This window comes from Homo sapiens, chromosome 8, assembly GCF_000001405.40.
Source record: "Homo sapiens chromosome 8, GRCh38.p14 Primary Assembly".
NCBI classification, from domain to species: Eukaryota; Metazoa; Chordata; class Mammalia; order Primates; family Hominidae; genus Homo; species Homo sapiens.
Window position 1 is genome coordinate 15,619,011 of NC_000008.11, and position 23,580 is coordinate 15,642,590.

Genomic DNA, 23,580 nt, shown 5'->3' on the forward strand with positions numbered 1-23,580 from the left:
CTAGTCACAAGTCGGAACACTTCCATTACCTTATATGCTGTGTTTTGGAAGAAATTATTAAAAGTAGTTTGATACTTAAAATTCAAAGAAAAATCGTTTTGTGGATTTTACTGGTATTTTAGCCTAGTTTAAGTGAGAAATGTGTTTCTCCCTTAAGGCAGTTGGGATACTAAGAATAGGCGAGATTTCAGTTCTTATTTTCACTATGATTTGATATTTATTGTTATTCCAGAACATGGATTTGTGTTTCCAGCTTTTAAATAATTGATATTTTTCATATAATAGATTGAGACTTTTAAAAGAAAAATAATTCACAAAATGTAATCAAATATAATACATGCTTTTAAAGTGCTACTTTTCTCATTTATAATTGCTCTCTGCTCTTCCTCGTTTACCCTATAAGCAGAAAGAAAACAATTTAGAAGTGACAAAATTTTATCCTAGTTTTAACATTGATTAGTCTGGAAAGAGTTTTATTCCATATATTTTTTTTTTTTTCCAGTCGAAGTCTGTCTCTGTCGCCCAGGCTGGAGTGCAGTGGCACGATCTCGGCTTACTGCAAGCTCCACTTCCTGGGTTCACGCCATTCTCCTGCCTCAGCCTCTGGAGTAGCTGGGATTACAGGTGCCCGCCACCACGCCTGGCTAATTTTTTGTATTTTTTTGTTTGTTTGTTTGTTTTAGTAGAGATGGGGTTCCACTGTGTTAGCCAGGATGGTCTCCATCTCCTGACCTTGTGAGCTGCCTGCCTCGGCCTCCCAAAGTGCTGGGATTACAGGCGTGAGCCACCGTGCCCGGCCTATTCCATATACTTTTTAATCTCTTGTATAGGACAGATTATATTTATGAATAGATCAAGGATAATGGACATGAGTTTTAATTAGTAAGAAAGAGAGAGCATTCAGAATTGTGAAAAAATGACTCAATTTTGCCAGAAATAACAGTGCAAGGCTGAGGCATGAGAATCCCTTGAACCCTGGAGGTGGAGGTTGCGATTTGCTGAGATTGCACCATTGCACTCCAGCCTGGGTAACAGAGGGAGACTGTGTCAGAAACAAACAAACAAACTGCAAATTAAAATAAGATACCATTGTCGATTAACTTGGAAGTGTGTGTGCATATGTGTACACCATAAAGAGATAGAAGATGAATAAGAATGAATACTCTAATCTGTTGAGGGTATAGTGAATCTCACACTCTAATATATTAATACATTGCAGATAGCGTTAGACTTTCACACTGATATAGTGTTTGTAAGGAAGTGTAGTCATGGTAATGAAAAATACCAGTTTGTCAAGATTGATGCAAAATGATGGGACTAACAGGCATTTTGTTTAAAAGATTTTTTCCAGAATATTTGTAATGGGAAAATTACATATAGTTAGAATTCTACATTTTTCAAGATGTGATTGTGTAGAAATTATATTTTACATTGATTTTTTTTAGTATTAAACATGACTGTGTACCCTGAAATCTGTAGCACAGTGGTTCTCAATATTTAGAAAAATGACGTATATATATTTGCCTAATTCTGAAGGAATATAGTAATTGTATGATAACTAGAAGTGTACTACAAAAAGGAATTCAGTTAAACCAAGTTAAGAGTATGCATTCTTGTGTTTTGCTTGGTTTTTGAAGGCACTTGTAACTTACCTAGTCCTTTGTTACTTAAATAAGAACTATTCCTCTGTGAGGAATTTTCGTTTGTGATCAGGCTATTAAATGAGTTTCGTATTACCTTGAAGATGGGAAGCATGGGAAATAGGAGTACCAGACTCAGGAGTCTCATTCCTTTCAGCATCCGTGAAACTGGGGCTGGCTTCTTTGATTATTTAAAAGTAAAGTGAAATCTTTGACCTTTTACAGTTACTTACTGTTTTCATAGATACATATTTGGTATAAATGGGATTTTTAAATGAGAAAAACAGTAAGATTATTGTAGAAATTCAAAGAGTATTAAAAGATTGTGTGTGGTGTGTGTCTGTGTGTGAGTGTGTGTTGTGCATGTGTGTAATGAGAAAAGCATAAAATACTGAGGTAACTCATACGTAAGTAACTTTCTTAGACCAGTTCTCTTCTGCCCTCATTAGTGGATTACCCTGCTTGATTTCCACTCTTTCCATAGAGGGTCACAGTCTCTAAATACTTAAAAAATAAATATTTATATAGTTTTTATCTTATTATTTTAAAATGTTTTCAAGGCTCAAAAGAATTTATATAGTAAGTTGGTTCATTGTGTGTATTGGTAAATACTGGAGACTTTAAAACTTATTAAATATATAACAGTTTTCTGTAAGGCAAAAACTATTAAATGGTGCTTAACATGGAAAATAACCTCACTTCGCTTCTCAAAATTGAAACTAAGAACAATTAGGAGAAGTCCTTCTATGTCACTTTCTACTGTTCTGGGTATATTGATGAGGCAGAGAGATAAGTTATCATTTTCAGTTTAATAAGGTTATTTTACTTTGGAAATATATATCTATAAAATACACATAAATATATGTAAAATATATATATATATATAAAGTATATTTCCAAAGTTATATATATATATTTAACTCAGACTGCAAATATATATATGGATTTATATATATAAATTATACATAAATATTATATATAGATAAATCTATATAGATAAATCTATAGCTATATATTTTTATATATAAATCTATATATGTAAATCTAACTAAATGCAAGTAATTTGTTTGTTTTGAGGTTAAGATCAATTTCAGTTGATGCCCTTTGGTTGTGGCAAAATTGGGTCTTTTAAAAAAAAAACACAGCCGAGTCATTAGCTGTGATTTTTCTTTTTCATACAGTTAGCATGCATGCATGTCTGAATGTTCTCTCTCTGCAGGTTACTATGCTCTTTGGCCAGCTTACTTTCCTTCCCTTCCTCCCTTCCATTTCTTTCCATTTATCTTTTTTCCTGTTCAAGTGGGTGCAAAGCACTGCAACAAGTCTTTTACCTTAACTCAGGATAAGATGTCTGCCTTCCCTTCTCTCTTCTTGATGTATATGCACCCAGTCTCTGTGAGCCACTTTTCCTTTTTCACCTGAGAGGAGAGGGGAAAGAGATTACTTTTCTCTCTGATTTCTAGAGTAGAGCTTGGTTAAATGGCACATTTCAAGCCTCCCTCTCCTGACCGCTTATACTTGCTTGGTTTTAAAATGGCAGGCAGTTTCTTTGTCTTGTAGGAATACAGTGTTGTAGAGTTGTTAACTTCTCAGGCTTGTTCAAGTAAGATGAATGTTCTAAAGATAAGAGCCTTTTTTTTTCCTTCCTTTCTTTCTTTTTTTTTAGAGACAGTGTCTTACTGTGTTGCCTAAGCTTATCTTGAACTCCTTGGGCTCAAGTGATCCTCCCACCTTGGTCTCCCAAAGTGCTAGGATTACAGGTGTGAGCCACCATTCCCAGCCTATAAGAGCCTTCTATACAGAAGCTACAGTGCTGTCTCCTCCCAAACCTCCCTAGGAACAGAATATTACTAATAGCCCAGTTCCACCTGTGCTGTCTACCAGTCACTGTGCCTCCCAGACTAGCCACCATAATGACTTTTAGCACAGTACATCAGTTTTTCCTATTTTTGACTTTAAGTAGAATCATACAACACTCTTTTGTGTATAGTTGCAGCTTTGTGTTTGTGGGGGTGGTTGTGAGGTTGTAGTTTTTGTTGTTGTTTTGTTTTCCTTTTGCTGTGATGTTTGGCTAGACTAGAGTAGAGCAGTTATTATTTTTACTGGGCTTCCCCTTTCTTTGTCCTTTGGATAGCAAGAGCTTACTTTTCTTGAGCCTTCTTTTTTTTTATGTCAACCCCCATTGGCATTCTTGGATTGCTGACTTCTCTAGCAAGTGGTCTGGGATATATAAGGCCAAGAGAAAACCCAACATTATAAAAATATATGTCCTTTCTATCTTTCTAGGAGCAGAAATATGGTCTTTTATCTTTTCTATAAACTTGGATATCATTAGGAAAAAGAAAATAAAACATTTTATGCATTTATATGAAATTCAAACAAAAGGACTTTGACTCTTTGTAAATGTTAATTTCTGTGTTTAATTGCAGAATCTTTTAGCTGAAAAAGTAGAGCAGCTGATGGAATGGAGTTCCAGACGCTCAATCTTCCGAATGAATGGTGATAAATTCCGAAAATTTATAAAGGCACCACCTCGAAACTATTCCATGATTGTTATGTTCACTGCTCTTCAGCCTCAGCGGCAGTGTTCTGTGTGCAGGTAATTTATGTAATTAAAAAATATTAAAAACTATTATTCTTGGTTTACATATATATTTTTATGTTCATTTTAAGATAAATATATGTAAGATAAACAGTTGTTTAATAGTCAAATATAACTGTGCATTTAAAAATAAGCTGAAAAATCAGTGTATTTTAGAAATATAGGCTAATATTCTTTTATTGGGGGCATGTAAAATATTCATTGACCAGTTGCACATATAATCATAAAACCGTTTTATCATCTTGATATCCTGCAGATTGCCTTGTAGGTCACTCAGTTATAGCTATGGTTAATGAAGTAGCCCCCTTAAATATAATCAATTTTTAATTTTTAATAGAGAGGACTCACTTTTATCTAGTGTAGCCCATTTAATTTTTGATACCGCCAATGATTAGAAATTTCTGTGCTGTAGAAGTAAACAGTTTTAAATGAATGAAATGTTTGTCTGGAGGAATAAATTAAAGAAAACTTTGGACAAGTATAAATACTTGTCCAAAAGTATACAACAAACACTTTTTTAAATTGAAATTTTTATTTTGAAATAATTGTAGGTACACATCTTTTACCCAGTTTCCTCCAGTGGTAACCTGTTGTAAAACTATAGTACAAATTCACAAGTAGGGTACTGGCATCGATACAGACAAATGCGGAACAGCTCTATTACTGCAGGGACACTTCTTGCCCTTTAAAGTCACCCGCACTCTCCATTGTACTTCTTACCTGTCGAACTTGACCTCTGACCTCTGGCAATCACTAGTCTGTTCTCCATTTCTATAATTTTGTCATTTCAAGAATCTTAGGTAAATGGAATTGTATGGTACGTGACCTTTTGGGTTTGGCTTTTAAAAATCAGCCGTAATTCCCTAAAAAAATACGTCCAAGTTGTTATATTTATCAATAATTATTTTTTTAAATTACTGAATAATGTTCCATTATATGGATGTACTGCTGTTTATTTAACCATTTATTTGTTAAAGGAATCGGGGTCGTTTCTAGGTTTTGGCTATTGCAAATAAATGTGGTATGAGCATTTTTCTGCAGGTTTTTATGTGAACTTACCGTTTTTCTGGGAAGAATGCCACAGAGTGTGGTGGTTAGGTTGTGTGGTAGTTTCTATTTAGTTATATAAGAAACAGCCAAAATGTTTTCTAGAATGGCTGTATCATTTCACATTCCAGCCATCAGTGTGTTTAGTTGCTGCTTATCCTTACCAGCATTTGCTGTTGTGACTATTTTATTTTAGCCATTCTGATAGATACTGTAGTAATACCTCATTGTGATTTAATTTTGCATTTCCCTATGACTAATTGTGTTGAACATCTTTTCATGTGCTTATTCGTCATCTATGTATCATCTTTAATGAAGTATCTGTTCATAGTCTTCTGCCCCTTTCTAATTGGATTCTTTAAATGAGTTTTGAGGGTTCTTCATATATTTAGATACTAGTCCTTCGTCAGATACTTGGTTTTCAAATATTTTCTCCCAGTTTGTGACTTGTATTTTCCTCCTCATTACAGGTCTTTTGCAGGTTTTAATTTTGATGAAGTTCAGTTTATTAGCTTATCCATTTAAAATTATTTCTTTTGTTGTCAAATTAAAGAACTCTTTCCTTAGCCCTAGATCCCAAAGATCTTCTCCTGTTTTTTTTTCTGAAAATTTTCTAGTTTGATGTTTTACAGTTTGATCTGCTCTTTGAAAGAAAGCACTCAATCTGTCATCAAGTATGATATTAGCTGTAGGTTTTTTATAGGTGGTATTTATCAAGTTGAGGAAGTTGCTCTATATTCCTAGTTTGCTGACAGTTTTTATCATGAATGAGGTGCTGCATTAAAAAAATTTTTTTTGTTGTCACTTTATGTAGTTTTTCTTGCCTATGGATATAATCAGTTACATTGATTGATTTTCAAATGTTGAACTGGTCTTGCATACAGGAATGGATACTATTTAATTGTGTCATATTATTTTATTATGTGTTGCTGGATTCAGTTTGCTAATTTTTTTTTGAAGAAGTTTGATCTAAGTTAATGATAGACACTGGTCTGTAGTTTTTATTGTTTATAGTGTCTTTGTTTAGTTTTGGTATCAGGGTAATATTGTACTCATAAAATGAGTTGGGGAATGTTACCTATTTTAATTTTTGGGAAATATTGTATAAAATTAGTGTTAACTCTTCTTTAAGTGTTTGGTAGCATTTTCCAGTAAAATCATCTGGGTCTGGAGATATCTTCCAGAAACTTATAAATTACATAATCCATTTCCTCGATGGTTAAGCACAGCACAGTTTGTTTATATCTTCTTGGCTGAACACATGTTCAAGAGCAAACACATTTTGTACTATAACTGCATGTGCCAGCATTGTCCATGTTGTATATTCATTGTAGACTTGGTTTAGGCTTCTAAATCATTTTGAGCTGTAGTGGAGACTGAAGTTATTAGTAACTTGGGTCAATGTAAAAAATCAGTTTTACTCAGGTTAGGTGGTAGAAAGGGAATGAGAGTGTTCTAAAATTTCTAAGAAGCATCTTATCACAACCTAATAATGAGTGTATGTTGGGGCATGGTTAAAAGTGAGTAGAGAACATGGTGAGCAAAATATTTTGAAAAACAGCACGTTAGGTGATTTTGAATTCTATTACTATCAAATTTGAGGACCAGTACTTGAGAGTGTATAAACACTATTGTCAGAATTGGGCTAGCACATAAGGATAGAGTATATATACCTTAACGATGGCAGCAGCGGGCCATCCGAAGAGGCCACTGCTATAGTTCCAGCTGTGGCGAGGGAGGCTGGGTGGTAGTGGTGGGAGTGGTTGCAGGAGCAGCAGTGGCAGTGGGGAGACCCGTGTGCACCGTGCCCCCTGTGCCCTGTGTCCCCAAGGTAGCTGACTGTGCCACCCCCACCCTCCTGAGCCTAGGCAGGACCCACTCCCAGGCCTGGAGCCTCTGCCACTCCAGACCCTGTCCCTGGTCACTGCTGTCACCTGCCACTTCTACGGGGAATAGGGAGAAGCCAGACAGTCCCTGAAGCTATGGGGGCCACTGCAGTGGGGCCAGGCCAAGTCACCTGCTGGTGGGAGAGCAGGGCAGTCAGGTATGGAGGGGTGGGCAGAGAGGGGACCCCAAGGCGGAACTGGGTCTGGGGCAGTGCTGTGCTCCATAGAGCCAGTGGGAGCGGGGAGCAGACAGTAGCCCTACCCTGCCGAGCATGGTTGTAGCCTTCCAAGTCATGGCTGTGGACCAGTATATCCGTGTGCTCTTTGGGGCAGGAAGCAGGCAGCAACCTTGCCCTCCTGGGCGCAGCTGCAACTGTCCACCTGCGACTGCGGACTCAGGCATCTCTCTGCACTCTCAGTGGCCCAGGAAGGCCCCCCTTACCCCTGCAGGCTTGGAGATGTCTGCTTCCACTGCCTGGTCTCTCCCTGCTCTTGGTGGCTGCTCCAGTCTTGGAGCAAGGATTGGGCACTGTTGGAGCTTGGCCAGGTGTGTGCATGCTCAGGGTAGAGCTGACATGCCAGCCCCCTGCTGCCTCAGTCCCCTCTGGACTTTCGGCATAAACGAGCATGGGAGAGTGGCTGAGGGGGGCCCTGAGGGAAGTCTGGTTTTGGCCTGCAGGTGCCCCTTGGCAAGAACAACCTGGGCACCATGAATGGCTGCAGGAGGCAGACAGGCTCCAGGGTGGAAGGGTCCTGATGAAACCCCACCTTCAAGCTTGGGAGGGCCTGAAGCCTGGGGGGCTGGGCTGCCGGTCCCGTTGAACAGAGTGGGAAAGTGTGGTACTTTTTCCTACTCTCACCCATGCACCAGTCAGCGCACACTATATCTGGCCCATAAAAACCTCAGACTCAGCCAGACTTGAGAAGAGGATGGAGAGATGATGAGACAAAGAGATGGCTAGCTGCAGAGAGAAGCTGCCCACCCCAGGGTCTCCTCTCTGCTGAGAGCTGAGGAGACAATGGTAGGACCAGATGCAGAGAGGTGCTGCTCTTTCTGCTGAGAGCTGAAGAGACTATAGGACAGCCTGCCTGGCAGAAAGGAGGTACCCTCCCTACTGAGAGCTGAAGACTTGTCAGGACATCCTGGCTATGGAGAGGAGCTGCCCACTGCAGGTTCCCTCTGAGCTGTTCTTTTGCTCACTAAAGCTCCTCTTTGTCTTACTCACCCTCCGGTTGTTTGTGTGCTTCTTTCTTCCTGGATGCTGGACAAGAACTTGGGACCTGCCAAATGGCAAGGCTAAAAGAGCTGTAATACAAAGAGGGCTGGAACATGCCCCTCGCTTGCCATGTTGTGGATGAAGAGAAGAAGAGAATAGCTGTGGCCCTTTGGGGAGCCCAGACCTGGGAGCTTCCTGAGCCAGGGCTGTGACTCCCTTTTTGGGGCCCTGTGGTTTCTGGTGTCTCCAAGCTTCCGGTGCCACTGCATTCCCCAGTGCTGGCCGGGGAAGCTGCTTGCAGTCCACCTGCAGCCTCACAGGGAGCTGGTGTCTCTTCCAGTTCCTGGAGCTGCACGCCCTGCTCTAGCCAGCATGCCTGGCTGTGTGCAGTGGCCAGACCCCATGCTCACTCACACACTTCTTGTTGCTCTGTTCCTGGTGTACCGTTGGCAGGCATGGGATCCTGGCCGGTAGCGGGAGCTGAGTGGAGACTGCCAGTCTGAGTGGACAAAACGAATCCAGTGGGCCAGAGTGAACCTCAGGCAAAGGTGCCACTGGCCACAGAGGTTTCCATCTGGCGAAGCGACACCCCAAGGATCCCGTAACATTAAGGGATGCTATAAAGCCCTACTCAGACAAAATACCTTAGTTGCCATTTTGGTATATCAGTTCGTTTTCCCCTAAAAATAAAACATTTCAGGCATTTAAAAAATACTGTAAATATTTTAAGAAAATCTTTTTTTGTTCCTAAAAACTGAATGTATTGATTTCCTAAAATCACTAGTATAGTGAAGAAATATTTAATCATTATATTTTTATAACAATCTAGAAATATTTTATTATCTAAGTATTTATTTCACTGTTACATATAATTATATGTACTGTAATAACATAAACCATAACATACTGTTAAATGGTGCATTCTTTGGATAGTATTTTACTTAATGCATTTTGGTGTTAAATCATTTGTTAAATACAGACCCTTAATTTTTTAATGACATCTAGCCTATAACAACTTTTTTCATTTATTTGCTTTTTATTTGTTCATTATAGCCTATTTTAAGAAACTTAGCATTTTAAAAGAGTTTTGGATTTATAAGAGAAAGAGATTGAAGTTCTTGGAAAATTTAATGGGTCAGTGTCGGGGTAGGATAGTTAGAGAAGAAAGAACAGGTTAAAGTTAAAATCTATTGTGCAAAGCAGTATAGAGAAAGGGAAGGTGAGGAGCAGGTTCATGACTTGTAGCTTTTGTATTTTATTCACTGAGAAGCAATGGAAATGGAAAGGCTTAACTAATTGGATAACCATGTAGCATTGAGATACCGTTTTTGAAACTAGAATACCTACCTTCTTAGTGAAGAGTCTGTAGAATTAAATGATGTTCTTTCCTAGTACTGAGCAATTTAGTAGCAAGAACCATGCTCCTTTGGAATGGTCCTGTTTTCTTCATGGTGTGAAGTGGATTAGGAGAATGAGTAGAAAGTGCGGGTGAGAGAATATGGGAAATATGTAGCTATGGTTGCAAAGTTGGATGAGGGTCAGAGGAAGCTAGGGAAAGTTGACAAACTGGTTGTGATACAGTTAAGCTAGATTTCCACAAGGGTGAAGAACAGGTTTTGTGTAGAAGTAGGATAGGGTTGAAAATTAGCAAGTTGTCATAAAGGGTTTATTTAATAAGTAACTTGCTGAAGTGTGATATACATGATTTTCGATGGTATAAAGAAGCTTGAACTGTGAGACTGTGGTAATATCTAGATTATAAAATTAGATGTTGATATTAGGATGGTATGGTAACTGAAGAGGAAAAAAGTGAGATTATAGAGGGATGCCTTGGAGTTTGTAGATGAGGATGAAAATTTATATTATAGGATGATATGAATTTCAAAGGGGCGTCTGTTAAGTAATTGTGGTAGAGAAGTGGTCTTGAGGTCTATTGTTATTGAGCCAGGAGAGCTCTGTAATCCATATGATAGTGGGCAGAGTGGACCAAAGAGATTTCAAGGTGACAACTAAGATGAAAAGGTGAAGAGGAGTTTCTACAAATATTTTTCAAGAAAAATTATTCAAATTATATTTCTGAGTAATAAATGAAGCATCAGAGGGAGTTGTAGATGCACTGAGAAAGGGACCCTGTCATTTGCGGCCATCTTGTTTTTTTTTTTTTTTTTCACGTGAATTACTCCTCCTGGGTCCTTCTGTGTCAGTGTACTTTTGGACCACTTCTGTAACACTGCCGTAATCTTTATAATTGTTTAGGATCTTTGAAAAGTTCATAGTTAGAATTTAAAAATCGTAGTACTTTCCTTTGTGAGACTTGCCTTTTTTCTTTTCTTTAAAAAAAAAAAAAGCGAAATTTTCTTCTAGAGTTAACTTGCATTTAGATTCTTCAGTTGATTTTCCTTGCTTAAAGGCTGGTGAATGAGCTTTTGGCTTCCTTGTAAGCCCTTTTAGCAGATAATTCTGCTCTTCCTTCACACAGTCAGTTTATTCACAAATTTTGGAATTCAATTCTCACCTCCCTCAGTGCTAACATCAAACTCCTCGGCCAAATAAAGTTGTTAATTAAGACTACTCTATATAATTCTCACCTCCCTTAAGTGTTAGCTCCAAACTTTTTTTTTAAATCAAATTATACTGTGGGGAATATTCTTCATAATTGCTAACTCTTTTAGATGTATTCTCCTACAAAGTTACTCATCTCTTCCAGGGTTTATTACAAAATCTAAGTACGAAATATCCTCATGGAAGGATGTTACTATGGATCAGTAGATTTAAGAAGAAAATTCAGTTGAAGGGAAATAAAGAACTTATGTAGAATCAAGCAGGTTGCCTGTATAACCAAAGTTTTGGTGATGTGTTGGAGATTAATATATAATTGGACTCCGGTTAAATGAAGAATTGATAAATTACAAAATACTTTGAGAAGAATAAATAACATTACATTGATACATTACATATTAACTAACATTTATTCTCTCCCAACAAAATAAAATTTTTGTTTATTATGTGTAAACTATTGGGGACGCTATGTTAAGTCCTTTATATATACAGTATATATATTATGTCATGTGATTCTCATTATTGTGAAAGTTAGATATGAACAAAACTCGTTTTATAAATGAGAATATTAAAGCTGAGAGGTTATAATTTTTTCAAAGTCACACAGCTAGTAACTGTTCAGGGTTGCGATTTGTGACTCCAGAGCTATTAGAATTTAATGCTTTCCTTAAGTGCACATATTCATTATTGTCTCTATTCTGTAAACTGTAATTGTGTCTTGCTTTTGTGTTCCTAACCAAGATTATTAGTGTCTTAGGGCAGTGATCTCTCCGCCAGCATATCCTAAACTTGTATGATCATGAAAAGCTTTTATTCAGGAATGTGTCTCATAATGGGGACTGGTGAATTGAATACAGCTGGCTAAAATCACGTGGAAAAGAGCCTATCACCCTTTTGTTTCCTTACAGAGAGGTCACACCTCTCATGGGTTTAGAGTGTGAAATTAACAAATAAGGTAAACTTGGGTCCCTTGTACATCACTTAAAGCACTTGTAAGTATATTACTTTTTTGGGGTTTGGTACTACAACCCTTATCATTTCCTCTTACCTTTGATAATATTTCTTCATAGCCCTTAATTTTTAAGTTTCCTTAAATTTCTTGGCTACCTGAACAAGGTATTTCACCTCTTTGCAAGACTGGGGAAGTGTCATGCCTTTTACATGTTCTTTTTCTGGTTTGGCTAACGTGAGACATTTTTCAGGCTTGAGTGAATCCATGACCAGTTTGGTATAAATGATGCCCTCAAGTTACTGCTGAGCTATGTAGTTTAATTTTCTTATTTTTTACATTGAAGGCATATGACGTAACTTTAGTGTGTTAACTTTCTTCCTAGGTGTCTCTTCCTCAGATAGGATAATCCCACCATTTTTACTGTTTACAGCAAACGTTCATTATATATGTGACATTGTAGCATTCCTTGAATTCTTTTCTATATTCTATAATTTTTCCTTTAAAGTCCAGCTATAGTCTCTTCATCTTTTTAATTTCAAGCTTACAGAAAATTGAAACTAGTACAGTGGACACCTGTGCTACCCTTTACCAAAATTCACTAATTAGTAATGTTTTGCCACTTTGCATTTTGCTCTCTTTTAAGTATAGGTAAAAGAAATCAGTCAAATATTAGCAAAAAACTACCTATGAGTTACATACATCATGAATATTGTCCCTAAATACTTCAGTAATACATCTCTTGAGTTTAAGGCTGTTGTGTGTGTGTGTGTGTGTGTGTGTGTGTGTGTGTGTGTGTTTTGTTTTGTTTTTAAGACACAGTCTTGCTGTGTCACCCAGGCTGGAGTGCAGTGGCGCGATCATGGCTCACTACAACCTCTGCCTCACGGGTTCAAGCGATTCTCCTGCCTCAGCCTCTCAGGTATCTGGGACTACAGGCACCTGCCGCCATGCCTGGCTAAATTTTTTTGTATTTTTAGTAGAGATGGGGTTTCAGCGTGTTGGCCAGGCTGGTCTTGAACTCCTGACCTCCTGATCCGCCTGCCTTGGCCTCCCAAAGTGCTGGGATTACAGGTGTGAGCCACCGTACCCGGCCAAGGCTATTCTTATATAATTAGAACACCATTATAACTTTTAAGTAAATTAATATTAGTTCAGTGATATAATCTTACTATATAATTCATATTTAAATTTTGCATTTGTCTCCAAAATGTCTTTTATTTCACTCCCGCACCCCCATGCCATGTGAGATCCATTTGAGGTTCATCTGTTACATTTGTTACACCTCTTTCTTTTAATCTATAACGTTTCCACACTTAAACAAGAAAGTATTTGTTTTAATGATGGTGACTTTTTTTTTCCCTGAGGAATCCAAGCAACTTGCCTTTTATAGTGTCCCATGCTCTGGATTTGTCTGATTGTTTCTTCCTGATTATATTCAAGGGAAGAGTACTATAGCAGTTAGTTGGAATACTTCTTATTGTATATTATCAGGAGGCCCATAATATTAGCTTGTTCATATACCAGTGCTGAGATTAATCACTTGATTAGGGTGATGGTTGTCAGATCTCTCCATTGTACAGGGAAATTTTTTTTGCTTTTATTAAGTATTTGGGGAGATAAGTGGCTTGGGAGGAAGGAAACAGGGAGATCAATTGAATATCCTGTTTCTCAGTAATTTTTTACCCAGCACTTGTAGTATTAATTTATAATGTTTGTCTGAACTTGATATTACATTAGTGATTGTGAAATGGAGATTTTCAAATTAAGTGATTTCTTCTACATTAATTAGTTGTCATTCTTCTGTAAAGGCAAGGTTTGCCAACCTCACTTACCTTTTGTTTTGAGTATTCCAACTCAAAGATTCTTTTCATTCCCTAATCCATTACTAGGATTATTCTTCTTCATGTTCAGATTGTCCTAAATTTGACCTGTGGGAACCAACTCCTATATCATAGTGTATCTCCTTTAGTCTACTTTCTGGTACAAGATATTCTAAGCTTACGTTGTATGTTCTCTGCCGTGGAACTGTAATCAGCACTTTTTTCAAGGAGCCCTGGTTCCTCTTCGTAGGAAATGATATTTAGAAAGCAAAAACTTAGCTAGGTGTACGCTTTACTGCTGAGGTAGTATTATTGCTTTGAGGCCTTTTTAGTAGAGCTAAGGGATATGGTTCTGTGGGGATGTGTGTGTGTATATAGATGTGTATACGTATTTTAAAATTATGACTTCAGTTAGATACGTATTATTGTAGCAGAGCATTACGTGTTTTCTTCTCTCTTTCCCTCATTCCATACTTTTATCTCTTTGGCCTGAGACATTAATACAGGTATAGCAGGATCTGTCTTGGTCCACAAAGAAGTCGTCTAGGGTAGTTCTCTCATCCATAGCAACTCAGTGAGTTGAAGCTGATGTGAATGCCTCAGTGAGTTGAGGCTGAAGTGGTATTATTGATCACTTCGGTGAAAGTTAGTGATAAATTTCTTACCTCCTGTTATATGTGGAATTGTTTCTTTCCAAAAAGGTATTCTGCATTCTTAACCCCCAGGTAGCCCAGACTGTGGCCTCATTTGGAAATAGGATAGTTGTAGATGTAATTAGTTAAGATGAGGTGATACTCAGGCAGGGCAGGCCTTTAATCCAATATGACCGATGCCATATCAGCAAAAGAGGGCAATTTTTTTACTAAATTCTATTTTATTGCATTGTTACAGACACACAGGGAGATTGCCTTTTGATGGCAGAGGTGGGGAAATGGAATAATTTAGCTGGAAGCCAGGGAATGTCAGGTATTGACAGCCATCATCAGAAGCTAGGAAGAGGCAAGGAAAGATTCTCCCCTTCAGTTTTAAGAGGGAGCATGGCCCTACTCATACCTTGATTTTAGACTTCTAGCCTCCAGAACTATGAGGTTTTTTTTGTTTTGTTTAAGCCATCCAGTTTGTGATACTTTGTTATGGCCACCCAGAGAAACTGATACACCACCTTTTACCTACTGGATGATTCTCACCATAAACAAAACATCCCACAAGGGATGCATAAACACAAGTCAAATATCCCTCTGGGTCAGCTCCCCCAGGTATCTGAAGGCTAGCCTCATTTCAGAGAGATCTCTACTGTGATCCGAGGGCTGTATACTTCCATAAACACTTGAAGGTCTCTTACAACCCATTCCTGGTATAGTTCATCATACCTAATGTGGTATTGGAGCAAAGACAAGATGGTATTAAACTTTTGCATGAGAAGTCCAGCCCTGGGGAGTGTATGTAGTGCCCCTGTGAAGTTTTGCTTACAATTATTGAGGTCTTCCAAATGGGACCTTCATCATTAAGAAACCCAGGTTGGCAGTGCCTTCAGTGTAGCCTCTTGGCTGGCTGGTAGACTTTGGTTCCTCCAACTCAGTTTGATGAATACATTGTGTCCACGATTCTAGACAGACCCGCAGGGAGTAGTTAGTTACTCCAATCTGTTTTATTGACTATGCCACTAGCAGGCCATCCCTTGTTCTCTCCTAAGAAAGACTGAGCTATGGCCACAGGAGTGGGGCTGAGAGAAACATGAGAGAAAGGGCAATTGATATTTTGCATGAAAGCTGGGGTCTTCCATTAACACTTCCATAAATTCCGTCTTAAGATTAAGAAGAATGACAAAGTTTGTTCAGACCCCACTGGTTGAAGATGGCAGATCCAGCAGTTGATGGTTTCAGAGAGCTGCACCAGTGTGTTTTTTCATGTGAGGAAGTCTTCAAAGGTGGTTCTCAAAGACAAAAGATTTTACTGTCTCTCCCTCTCTACCTCCTAGGATCTGTATTTTCATCTTCACATACTAGAATTTTTGCTTACCCTCATAAAATCATTGTCTCCATCTGAGTATCTGTAACTTCACCTTTTCTCCAGTTATCCCGTACTAACACCCAGATTATCAGATGTTCGTCTGGAGAGTTTTAGTATGAGAGATATAAGGGCATTTCAATGAAATTTATAGAGACTGATTACATCCTTCACTTTGGCCTCCGTAGGCCACTGCAGGAGGGCTTAGTGTGAAGTACACTCAGCCAAGTGGTCATTATCCTTATTAACTAAGACCATGTCAGTAAAACAAGAGAACTCAGTGACTGAACCCAGATTAAATCTGAATTTCCTAAGCCTTTTTTTTTTCCCCCCAAAGGTAGGCTGCCACCCAGGGGATATATTGGTTGAGTTTCCTCAAGGTAACTGTCAAGGAAGGAAAGGAAGCATTATGCCCGGGAATGGTCAGGACAGAATCTTAAATTTTTCAAAATAGATCTGAATAATGCCCACATCTCTTGTATTGATCATTTCTTAGGAAGCAGCCAAGAAGAGATGAACTCTTTCTTGGGATAGATGTGTTTAGTCACCAAACTGCCGTGTGAAGGTGTGTGGACAAAAAGAGGAGAGGAAGTCGAGTCACACATATTTTCATGTTAATTTTTGAGGTGGCTCAAATGCATGTCACAATGCTGGATGCTAGCAGATGTTAGGGCACATGGAATGACTGCTGAATGCCTTACCTATTGGCTTATGTTTTGGTGGCTTTTGTGGCAAAAGGCACAGTATTATTAGACTGTAATATAGTCCAGAGAGCCAGAAATAATGACATATTTTAATTTAAAAATTCACAATGGAATGGCTACAGTTAACTAGCACAATGTACTCTAACACACTGTACTCTCACAGTGAGAGTCGTAATAGTAGTAAGGTGCCAGTGGTAGCCCCGACAAAAGAACAAAGGCTCATTAAAGTCAGTTTGCTAAGAACAGATGCGTATGATGCCTTGACTAGCATGGCTGCTGCCCTGCAAGGTAAACAGGCCAATGTTTGATAAGAGTCTCAAGTCTAGTATTCATTGTAGCTTCTGCATGAACTTACAGTAATGGAGCCAGGTAGCAATGGTGGTGATCTGGTAAGTGTAGGTTTAATTAGCAGCTTGATTCCAGATGGTTTGTCAGATTATGGGTCCTCACTGTGGGCGACTACGTTAAGTGACCTCTTGGTGACTAGTTCGCATGTGTGATTTGTTGTTCAAAAGATAGATGTTTCAAAGAGCGGTGTCTTTATCTCTTAGTCTGTAGTCTTCCAAGTGGCAGATGATATGGTTAGGCCAGTGGCAACAGTCAGTACAAATGTGGGAAGATTTGTCAAAGTGGGTCTTGGTCAGGACTATGAGGACTGCCTTGAGTTCTGCCCACTGAGCAGAACAACCACGCCTGTTTTTGGTATTACACAGCTGTTTCTGAGGGGAAGCAGCCACAGCAGCCCGTTAAGCACAATCGGATTTCAACTTAGCAGAATCATCAGTTACTCAGGCCTGGGCATTTAGGGAACCTCTGTGAATTGAGGGCTCCACTGGGCCATTAACTTTGAGTTGGGTGGCAGAGTTAGGGATAAAGTTTGCTACAAGAGATAGCTGCTGTTTTTTTAATGTAAAACTGATGGGTGGCCAGGGTCAGCTGCACTCTTAAATATACCATTTCCACAAGGAAAGCCTGGTGGACGCTTAATACCTTAGTCATCAGATCCAAGTAGACCAACCCCAGAATAGAGATATTAGGCATTTGTTTGTACTTGGTGGTCTTGTGAGGCAGTTGCCATCCAGAAATCAAACTGGCGTTGGTACATGGAAGACAACTCATGTTGCCGTAGGCATTAGTCAGCAGAATTCTCAGTCATGGAGACTGTAGTTGGAAGCAGTCATTAGGTTTGTGTGTCCCCAAAGATACGGGGTGTGGTTTGCTGAACATTTGCAGTGCAGCCTGTTGCATTGTTTCCTTTTCAGAGGACACTGGTTTGTGGGCTAGTCTATATAAATGATGAAGACGAATGTTCCAGTGGGAGATTAACTTATTTCAGTGCCTAAAGAGTTCATTAAGGTGTTGGGCCTCCTTTTTGGGGTCAAGTCTGAAGAGATAGCAGTTTTTCTTTCACTGCTGGGGAAATTGAGTGTTTGTAGTCTGTTCACATAGTCCCAAGAAATTTTATTTGGTGCTGGTGAGATACTGATGCCGATCCAGTTTTCTTACTTTGAATGTGATTTGTTTTTTTGCCTTGTGGGCCAAAGTATATTTTAAATTTTTTCACTGAAGTCTGATAATTCTGCTATACTATGTCTTACAGTTGACTATTCTAGGTTGCCTTTTTCAGGCACACAAAGAACTCTTCAATATGTATATAGGGACTTTATTTTTAGAAATGTTATTATATCGTAGTTTAAAATACCAGTTCTATTTCATTGTTTTGTTTTTCTACTTCAGGGACTCTAATTCTCCATATGTTTAATATTTTAAAATCCACCCCATTCCCTCTTAAACTTTTATTTTGTTTTTGTTCTCTTACCTGCTTTTAATCCTATTCTTAATGTCCTTTATTTATTTTCAGTCAACTCCATTTTTCTTTGAAGACTTTGTAATACAGACTTCATTTCTGCGTGGATTCTGTCTGTTTTGCTTTTTTGAAACATACTGGTTTCCTGAGTCTTACTAACTGTGATATATCGTCTTTTGTTTTTTATTTCTATTTCTAGTTGTTTAATTTCTGATTTGAGATTTTCTGTCTTCAACTGCTTGTTTAATGATATTTACTTTAGGTTGGAGTATTTTGTTTCAGTTTTCTCTTCATGATTTTGTTTTTAGGGAAATTTTTTATCAGTTGAAGAATTTTTATTCTTTCTGATTTATTTTTGTAGTAGCCTTGTACAGATGCTGTTGATCATTTGCTGCTTCTTAAAACTTTTTTTTTACCCCTTTCCTATACCAGACCAGAAACCATAGTTTATATGTGGGGTGGGGATGGCTAGACTTTTGAGTGGCCTACTGATTTCTTAATTCAAGTACCCTTTCTGCTCATAACGTGAAATAGGTCGAGTTCAGCAAGCTTATTTTTCTCCCCCGCTCACTTCTTCCTCCCTCCTATTTCTTCCTCTCTCCTCCTTCTTGCAGTGGCATATTCTGATTCTGAAATAATTTATGTTTCCACAGGTCCCTTAATTTTCATGACCTGCTTCTCTGTTTCACTCTATCACCAACCCACTAATGCATGTCTGCTTCTTCTAAGTTGTTTCCCACTCCCCACAAAGTGGTGCATTCTTAAGACTGCCATGTTTGTTCCTGTGTACTTCCAAGCCCCTTTCTTTATGTTCCACAGTAGCCACTGTTCTTGCCCACCATGTTATAGACCTGTTCTCAGTGTTTTCAAATTCAGCTGAGATTCTGTCTTTCTTGGGGTGATTCCCACCCCCGCCGCCCCCCGTATTTCGCCTCTGCTAGGATCCCTCGTACCCCTTTTTCCCTGTACAGTCTCCACCTTCCTGTTCTTGCATGGATTACTGAAGTTATAAATGTTAATTTCCTCACTTCCATTTACATTTATATTCTGTAGGATTCTTTTTATCCCAGTTACTGTACTGGCATTAGTAGTTTTGATTATGCTTTTTGGAGAACTACATGGTTTTTGGAGTTCTTTGTTGGTTATCATTATCCTACAGGAACTCAGTAATTGTCGCGTATAGTTTTAATCTTTGTAGGAGAAATTGGAATCTGACCACACAGAAGGAAGTTCTTTGAAGACAAACTTTTTTTTTCTTTTTTTCTTTTTTTTTTTTTTTTTTTTTTTTGGAGACAAGAGTCTCACTCTGTTGCCCATGCTGGAGTGCAGTGGCATGATCTCTGCTCACTGCAACCTCTCCGCCTCCTGGGTTCAAGTGATTCCCCTGCTGCAGCCTCCTTAGTAGCTGGGATTACAGACATGTGGTACCACGCCTGGCTAATTTTTGTATTTTTAATAGAGACAGGGTTTCACCATGTTGGCCAGGCTGGTCTCAACCTCCCAACCTCAAGTGATCCACCTGCCTTGGCCTCCCAAAGTGCTGGGATTACAGGCTTGAGCCACTGTACCTGGCTGAGGACAAATACTAGCATTACACTGATGATTATGATCATGTGTTGATGCTAGATCACGTGATGTTCAGGGCTTCAGTGATGATGATCATGTGTTGATGCTAGATCACGTGATGTTCAGAGCTTCAGTGATGATGATCATGTGTCGATGCTAGATCACGTGATGTTCAAGGCTTCAGTGATGATGATCATGTGTCGATGCTAGATCACGTGATGTTCAGGGCTCCAGTGATGATCATGTGCTGATGCTCGATCACGTGATGTTCAGGGCTTCAGTGATGATGATCATGTGTCGATGCTAGATCACGTGATGTTCAGGGCTTCAGTGATGATCATGTGTCGATGCTAGATCACGTGATGTTCAGGGCTTCAGTGATGATGATCATGTGTTGATGCTAGATCACGTGATGTTCAGCGCTTCAGTGATGATCATGTGTCGATGCTAGATCACATGATGTTCAGAGCTTCAGTGATGATGATCATGTGTTGATGCTAGATCACGTGATGTTCAGGGCTTTGGACTTTCTGTGTGCTTAGTGGGATTTTATTGAATGAAATGAATGAGAATTTTTTCATATTGATGAAAAACTCATTGAAAAGTTTCTTGATAGACAGCTACAGGAGTAAAGATCATACAAAACGGTGCTTTATTTCTCTAAAAATGCTTTATTTATATAGGTTATAACTGAAATAAATGAAAAAATGACTTTTAAAACTCTAATCTTGATAGCTGCTTTTAAGCATTTAAAGATAAAACTTTCTGCATTTTTATATCTAAAGCTGCAACTATTATATAAAGTCATAAATTACAATTCATCTTTGTATTATTTTTAAGCATTTATTCTTGGTTTCAATGATTTTAGTTTATGTTAGTCATTTAACATATTAAATGAGATTTACTAATTTTCATGGTCTCAGACCTTAGTCCTCAAATAATTTCTCTTAGATGCATAAGAGTCGTTTTTTTTTTTTTTGGACCCATGAGGATGACTTAGTACAGTCAGTCAATATGAGTAAAACCACTTCAGATATAGTCCTTTCTTGTGATAGGTTGTTGTCTTTGTCACCATAATACAGTGAACAAAATAATATTCTTTTTATTTATCAGAAGACAGTGATTATCATGTGCCCATGCAGAAGAGAGTTAACATAGCAGGCCTGAGATTGTTATCGTTAGAAAGGGGAGCTCCCAAGTGTGGCCCTTGCTTGCCATATGGGAACTTGGATTTTGGGAATTTTTCCACCATTACTTAGCTGAGAAGGGTGGTTCACTGTCCCTGAACTGTTTACAAACAATGTGGTTAATGCTGAACACCTGCTTTTTTTGTGTAAGTTTGGAATTTTGCCACCTACCATGCAGAGGGCATCTACATGACCAACCTTCTTGGGCACTGAATCTGTAATGAACCTCCCTGGTAGAAACACTTTACACGTGTCACAACGGAATTGATCCTGTGTGACCTGACAGGGAGTCACTGTTGGAAACTTATCTGGTTCACTTCAGACTGCACCGTGTGCCTTTTCCCTCTGCTGATTTTGCTTTGTGTCCTTTCTCTGTAGTAAATCTCAACCATGAATGTGACCATGTGCTGATTCCTCTGAGTCTTCTTAGTGAATCACCAAACGTGGTGATGGTACTGGGGACGCCCAACACACAACCTTTTAATAATTCTGAAATGTTTTCTCCTGGTCTTGGCAAGAAGTTATATATTTAATATTCATTTTAGTTTTTATTTAGTTTTTCAGATCTGTAGAATAAGCCTCCCCTGCCCCTAAAGAATCTTAAATAGAACTAGGGACAAAAAGAAACCTCATTTTATAAATTTGTGGCTTTTTGTCGTGGAACTGGATACTAGTATGGTGCTATTATATTGATACTGGCATATATTTTTGAACCAATTTTTATTGAATGGTCACTGTGTATAAATTCTCTCCTGGATCCAAGGGGAGATGATGGTGAACAAACTGACCTGGCTGCTGCTCTCATTATCTCAGAGTCTAGTTCGTAAATGTCATGAAGGAAAAGCACAGAGATTTATGAGAGGATCCTGGTTTTTCCTGTTAATCTGTGTGTTCAAAAAGGTTTATTTAAGGGAGTGATAAATTGCAGTGTTAAGTTATACACGAAGACTAGGAATTCATGAGGCATGTTTATCTGCTCCCATGTACTAGACATACCTCTTTGCCATGTATACTGAGTGTGTTATATGTATTGTGTGCCATGTGTGCTCTGTAGCTATAGAAAAGCTAGGTTGAGGCCGGGCGCGGTGGCTCACACCTGTAATCCCAGCACTTTGGGAGGCCGAGGTGGGCAGATCATTAGGTCAAGAGATCGAGACCATCCTGGCCAACATGGTGAAACCCCTGTCTCTACCAGAAATAGAGAAAATTAGCTGGGCGCGGTGGCACTCGCCTGTAGTCCCACCTACTCGGGAGGCTGAGGCAGGAGAATCACTTGAACCAGGGAGGTGGAGGTTGCAGTGAGCCAAGATTGTGCCACTGCACTCCGGCCTGGCGACAGAGAGAGAGACTCCGTCTCAAAAAAAAAAAAAAAAAAGAAAAGTTGCATTGAGAAGAAGGAAGGAATTTCACAGAAATCCTATATCAAGAGTAAGCCTAGTTTATCAAAGGAAATTAAAATTTGGGTCTGGTGCAGAGAGTGAGAGGGGAAGACACTAGAAGTAAGGTCTGAAAATGCAAATAGTCAATGAATTTTAAGCTAGATGGTGGGTACCCCAAGGTTTGCATACTCCTTTGCCATTTACTAGAGACTTCGTTATGCCTCATGTTTTTAACCTCATGACAACTGTTGAGAGAGAAATTACTAGTATTGTCATGCTAAAAAGGGGAAAATAAAGTATTTGTGGCTTTCTCAAGTTTATACATTACAAAGTTGAAAGCCAGTCCACAAGTACAGATTTTCAAAATTCATGTGTTACCTATGTTCTTTCTACTTGGCCACATCATAATAATAGGTGTAGTGTTACATTGTTTGGAAGTCATGATAAAAGTATTATGGTTATTTTATATGTATCTAAAGGCCTTGCCAAAAATGAAAACCAGACAAAAAGAGACGCAAGGAAACTTTTGGAAGTGATGGAAATGTTTATTAACTTGACTGTGGTGGTGGTAACATGAATGTGTACATATGTCTACACTCACCAAATTGTACCCATTATATACATTAATCGTGTGGGCTTTTTAATATACCAGTTATACCTCATTGAAGCTGGGGGAAAAGAATAGTCCAAGAACATTTCTTCAGTGTTTAGCATAAGATATTCCTATGGTAGTCTGCCAGTTCATTAACAAAATTAGAGATGTTTGGAACAATATTACTGGGTAGAATAGTTGCTTGTCATGGAATTTTGTAGTATCACAAGATAGATCTCTCTCTATACAATATATAATGCATATACTCAGATAGTTAACTGGTTAATCAGTAGTTCAAGAATTATTTAAGAATAGTATGTGAATCTCTATGCTTTTTATTCAATTTTGTTGAGAATCTAAAACTCCTCTAAAAATAGTCTATTAAAAATAAGTTTGATGAGAAAAGTTAAAAAAATGAAGATAAATATGAATAAATATACGAAAGGGTTCCTGGCATACACTAAATCTCCATGAATGTTTCTTGTGACGGCAATACTATCAGTTGACTAGAAAAGACATAATCTCCATCTCTTGGGACACAGTTTCTGTAATCTTGTGTCTACCTTTTTGATTCATTACAATAAAGGTCTTTAAAGTCTGCGTATATTCTGTTCT

At 38.5% G+C, this 23,580-nt stretch overlaps 1 protein-coding gene across 35 annotated transcripts in view, besides 2 other annotated features; it reads left to right on the forward strand.

Annotated features, from left to right (window-relative positions):
• Positions 1–23,580, forward strand: part of TUSC3 (tumor suppressor candidate 3) — a 434,904-nt gene that overhangs the window by 201,823 nt on the left and 209,501 nt on the right. For 30 of the 35 annotated variants that reach the window (NR_182196.1, NR_182195.1, NR_182199.1 and 27 more), the window contains one exon: positions 4,070–4,239. The exons of 1 other annotated variant lie outside the window; for it this stretch is intronic. Coding sequence is in view for 28 of the 34 variants with exons in the window: in NM_001413670.1 (NP_001400599.1) it covers positions 4,070–4,239 (170 nt within the window). In the remaining 6 variants the exon portion in view is untranslated. Of the gene's footprint in view, positions 1–4,047; positions 4,240–23,580 lie in introns of those variants that run through there. 4 more of the 35 variants (XM_047422264.1, XM_047422265.1, XM_047422263.1 and 1 more) reach the window with 2 other exon arrangements.
• Positions 7,268–7,953: an enhancer, noted in NCBI's record as "H3K27ac-H3K4me1 hESC enhancer chr8:15483787-15484472 (GRCh37/hg19 assembly coordinates)". NCBI's record gives its function as "activates a minimal SCP1, AML or CMV promoter by ChIP-STARR-seq in primed H9 embryonic stem cells {active_cell/tissue: H9 hESC(primed)}" and the evidence as "EXISTENCE:reporter gene assay evidence [ECO:0000049][PMID:30033119]".
• Positions 8,115–8,678: an enhancer, noted in NCBI's record as "H3K27ac-H3K4me1 hESC enhancer chr8:15484634-15485197 (GRCh37/hg19 assembly coordinates)". NCBI's record gives its function as "activates a minimal SCP1, AML or CMV promoter by ChIP-STARR-seq in naive H9 embryonic stem cells {active_cell/tissue: H9 hESC(naive)}" and the evidence as "EXISTENCE:reporter gene assay evidence [ECO:0000049][PMID:30033119]".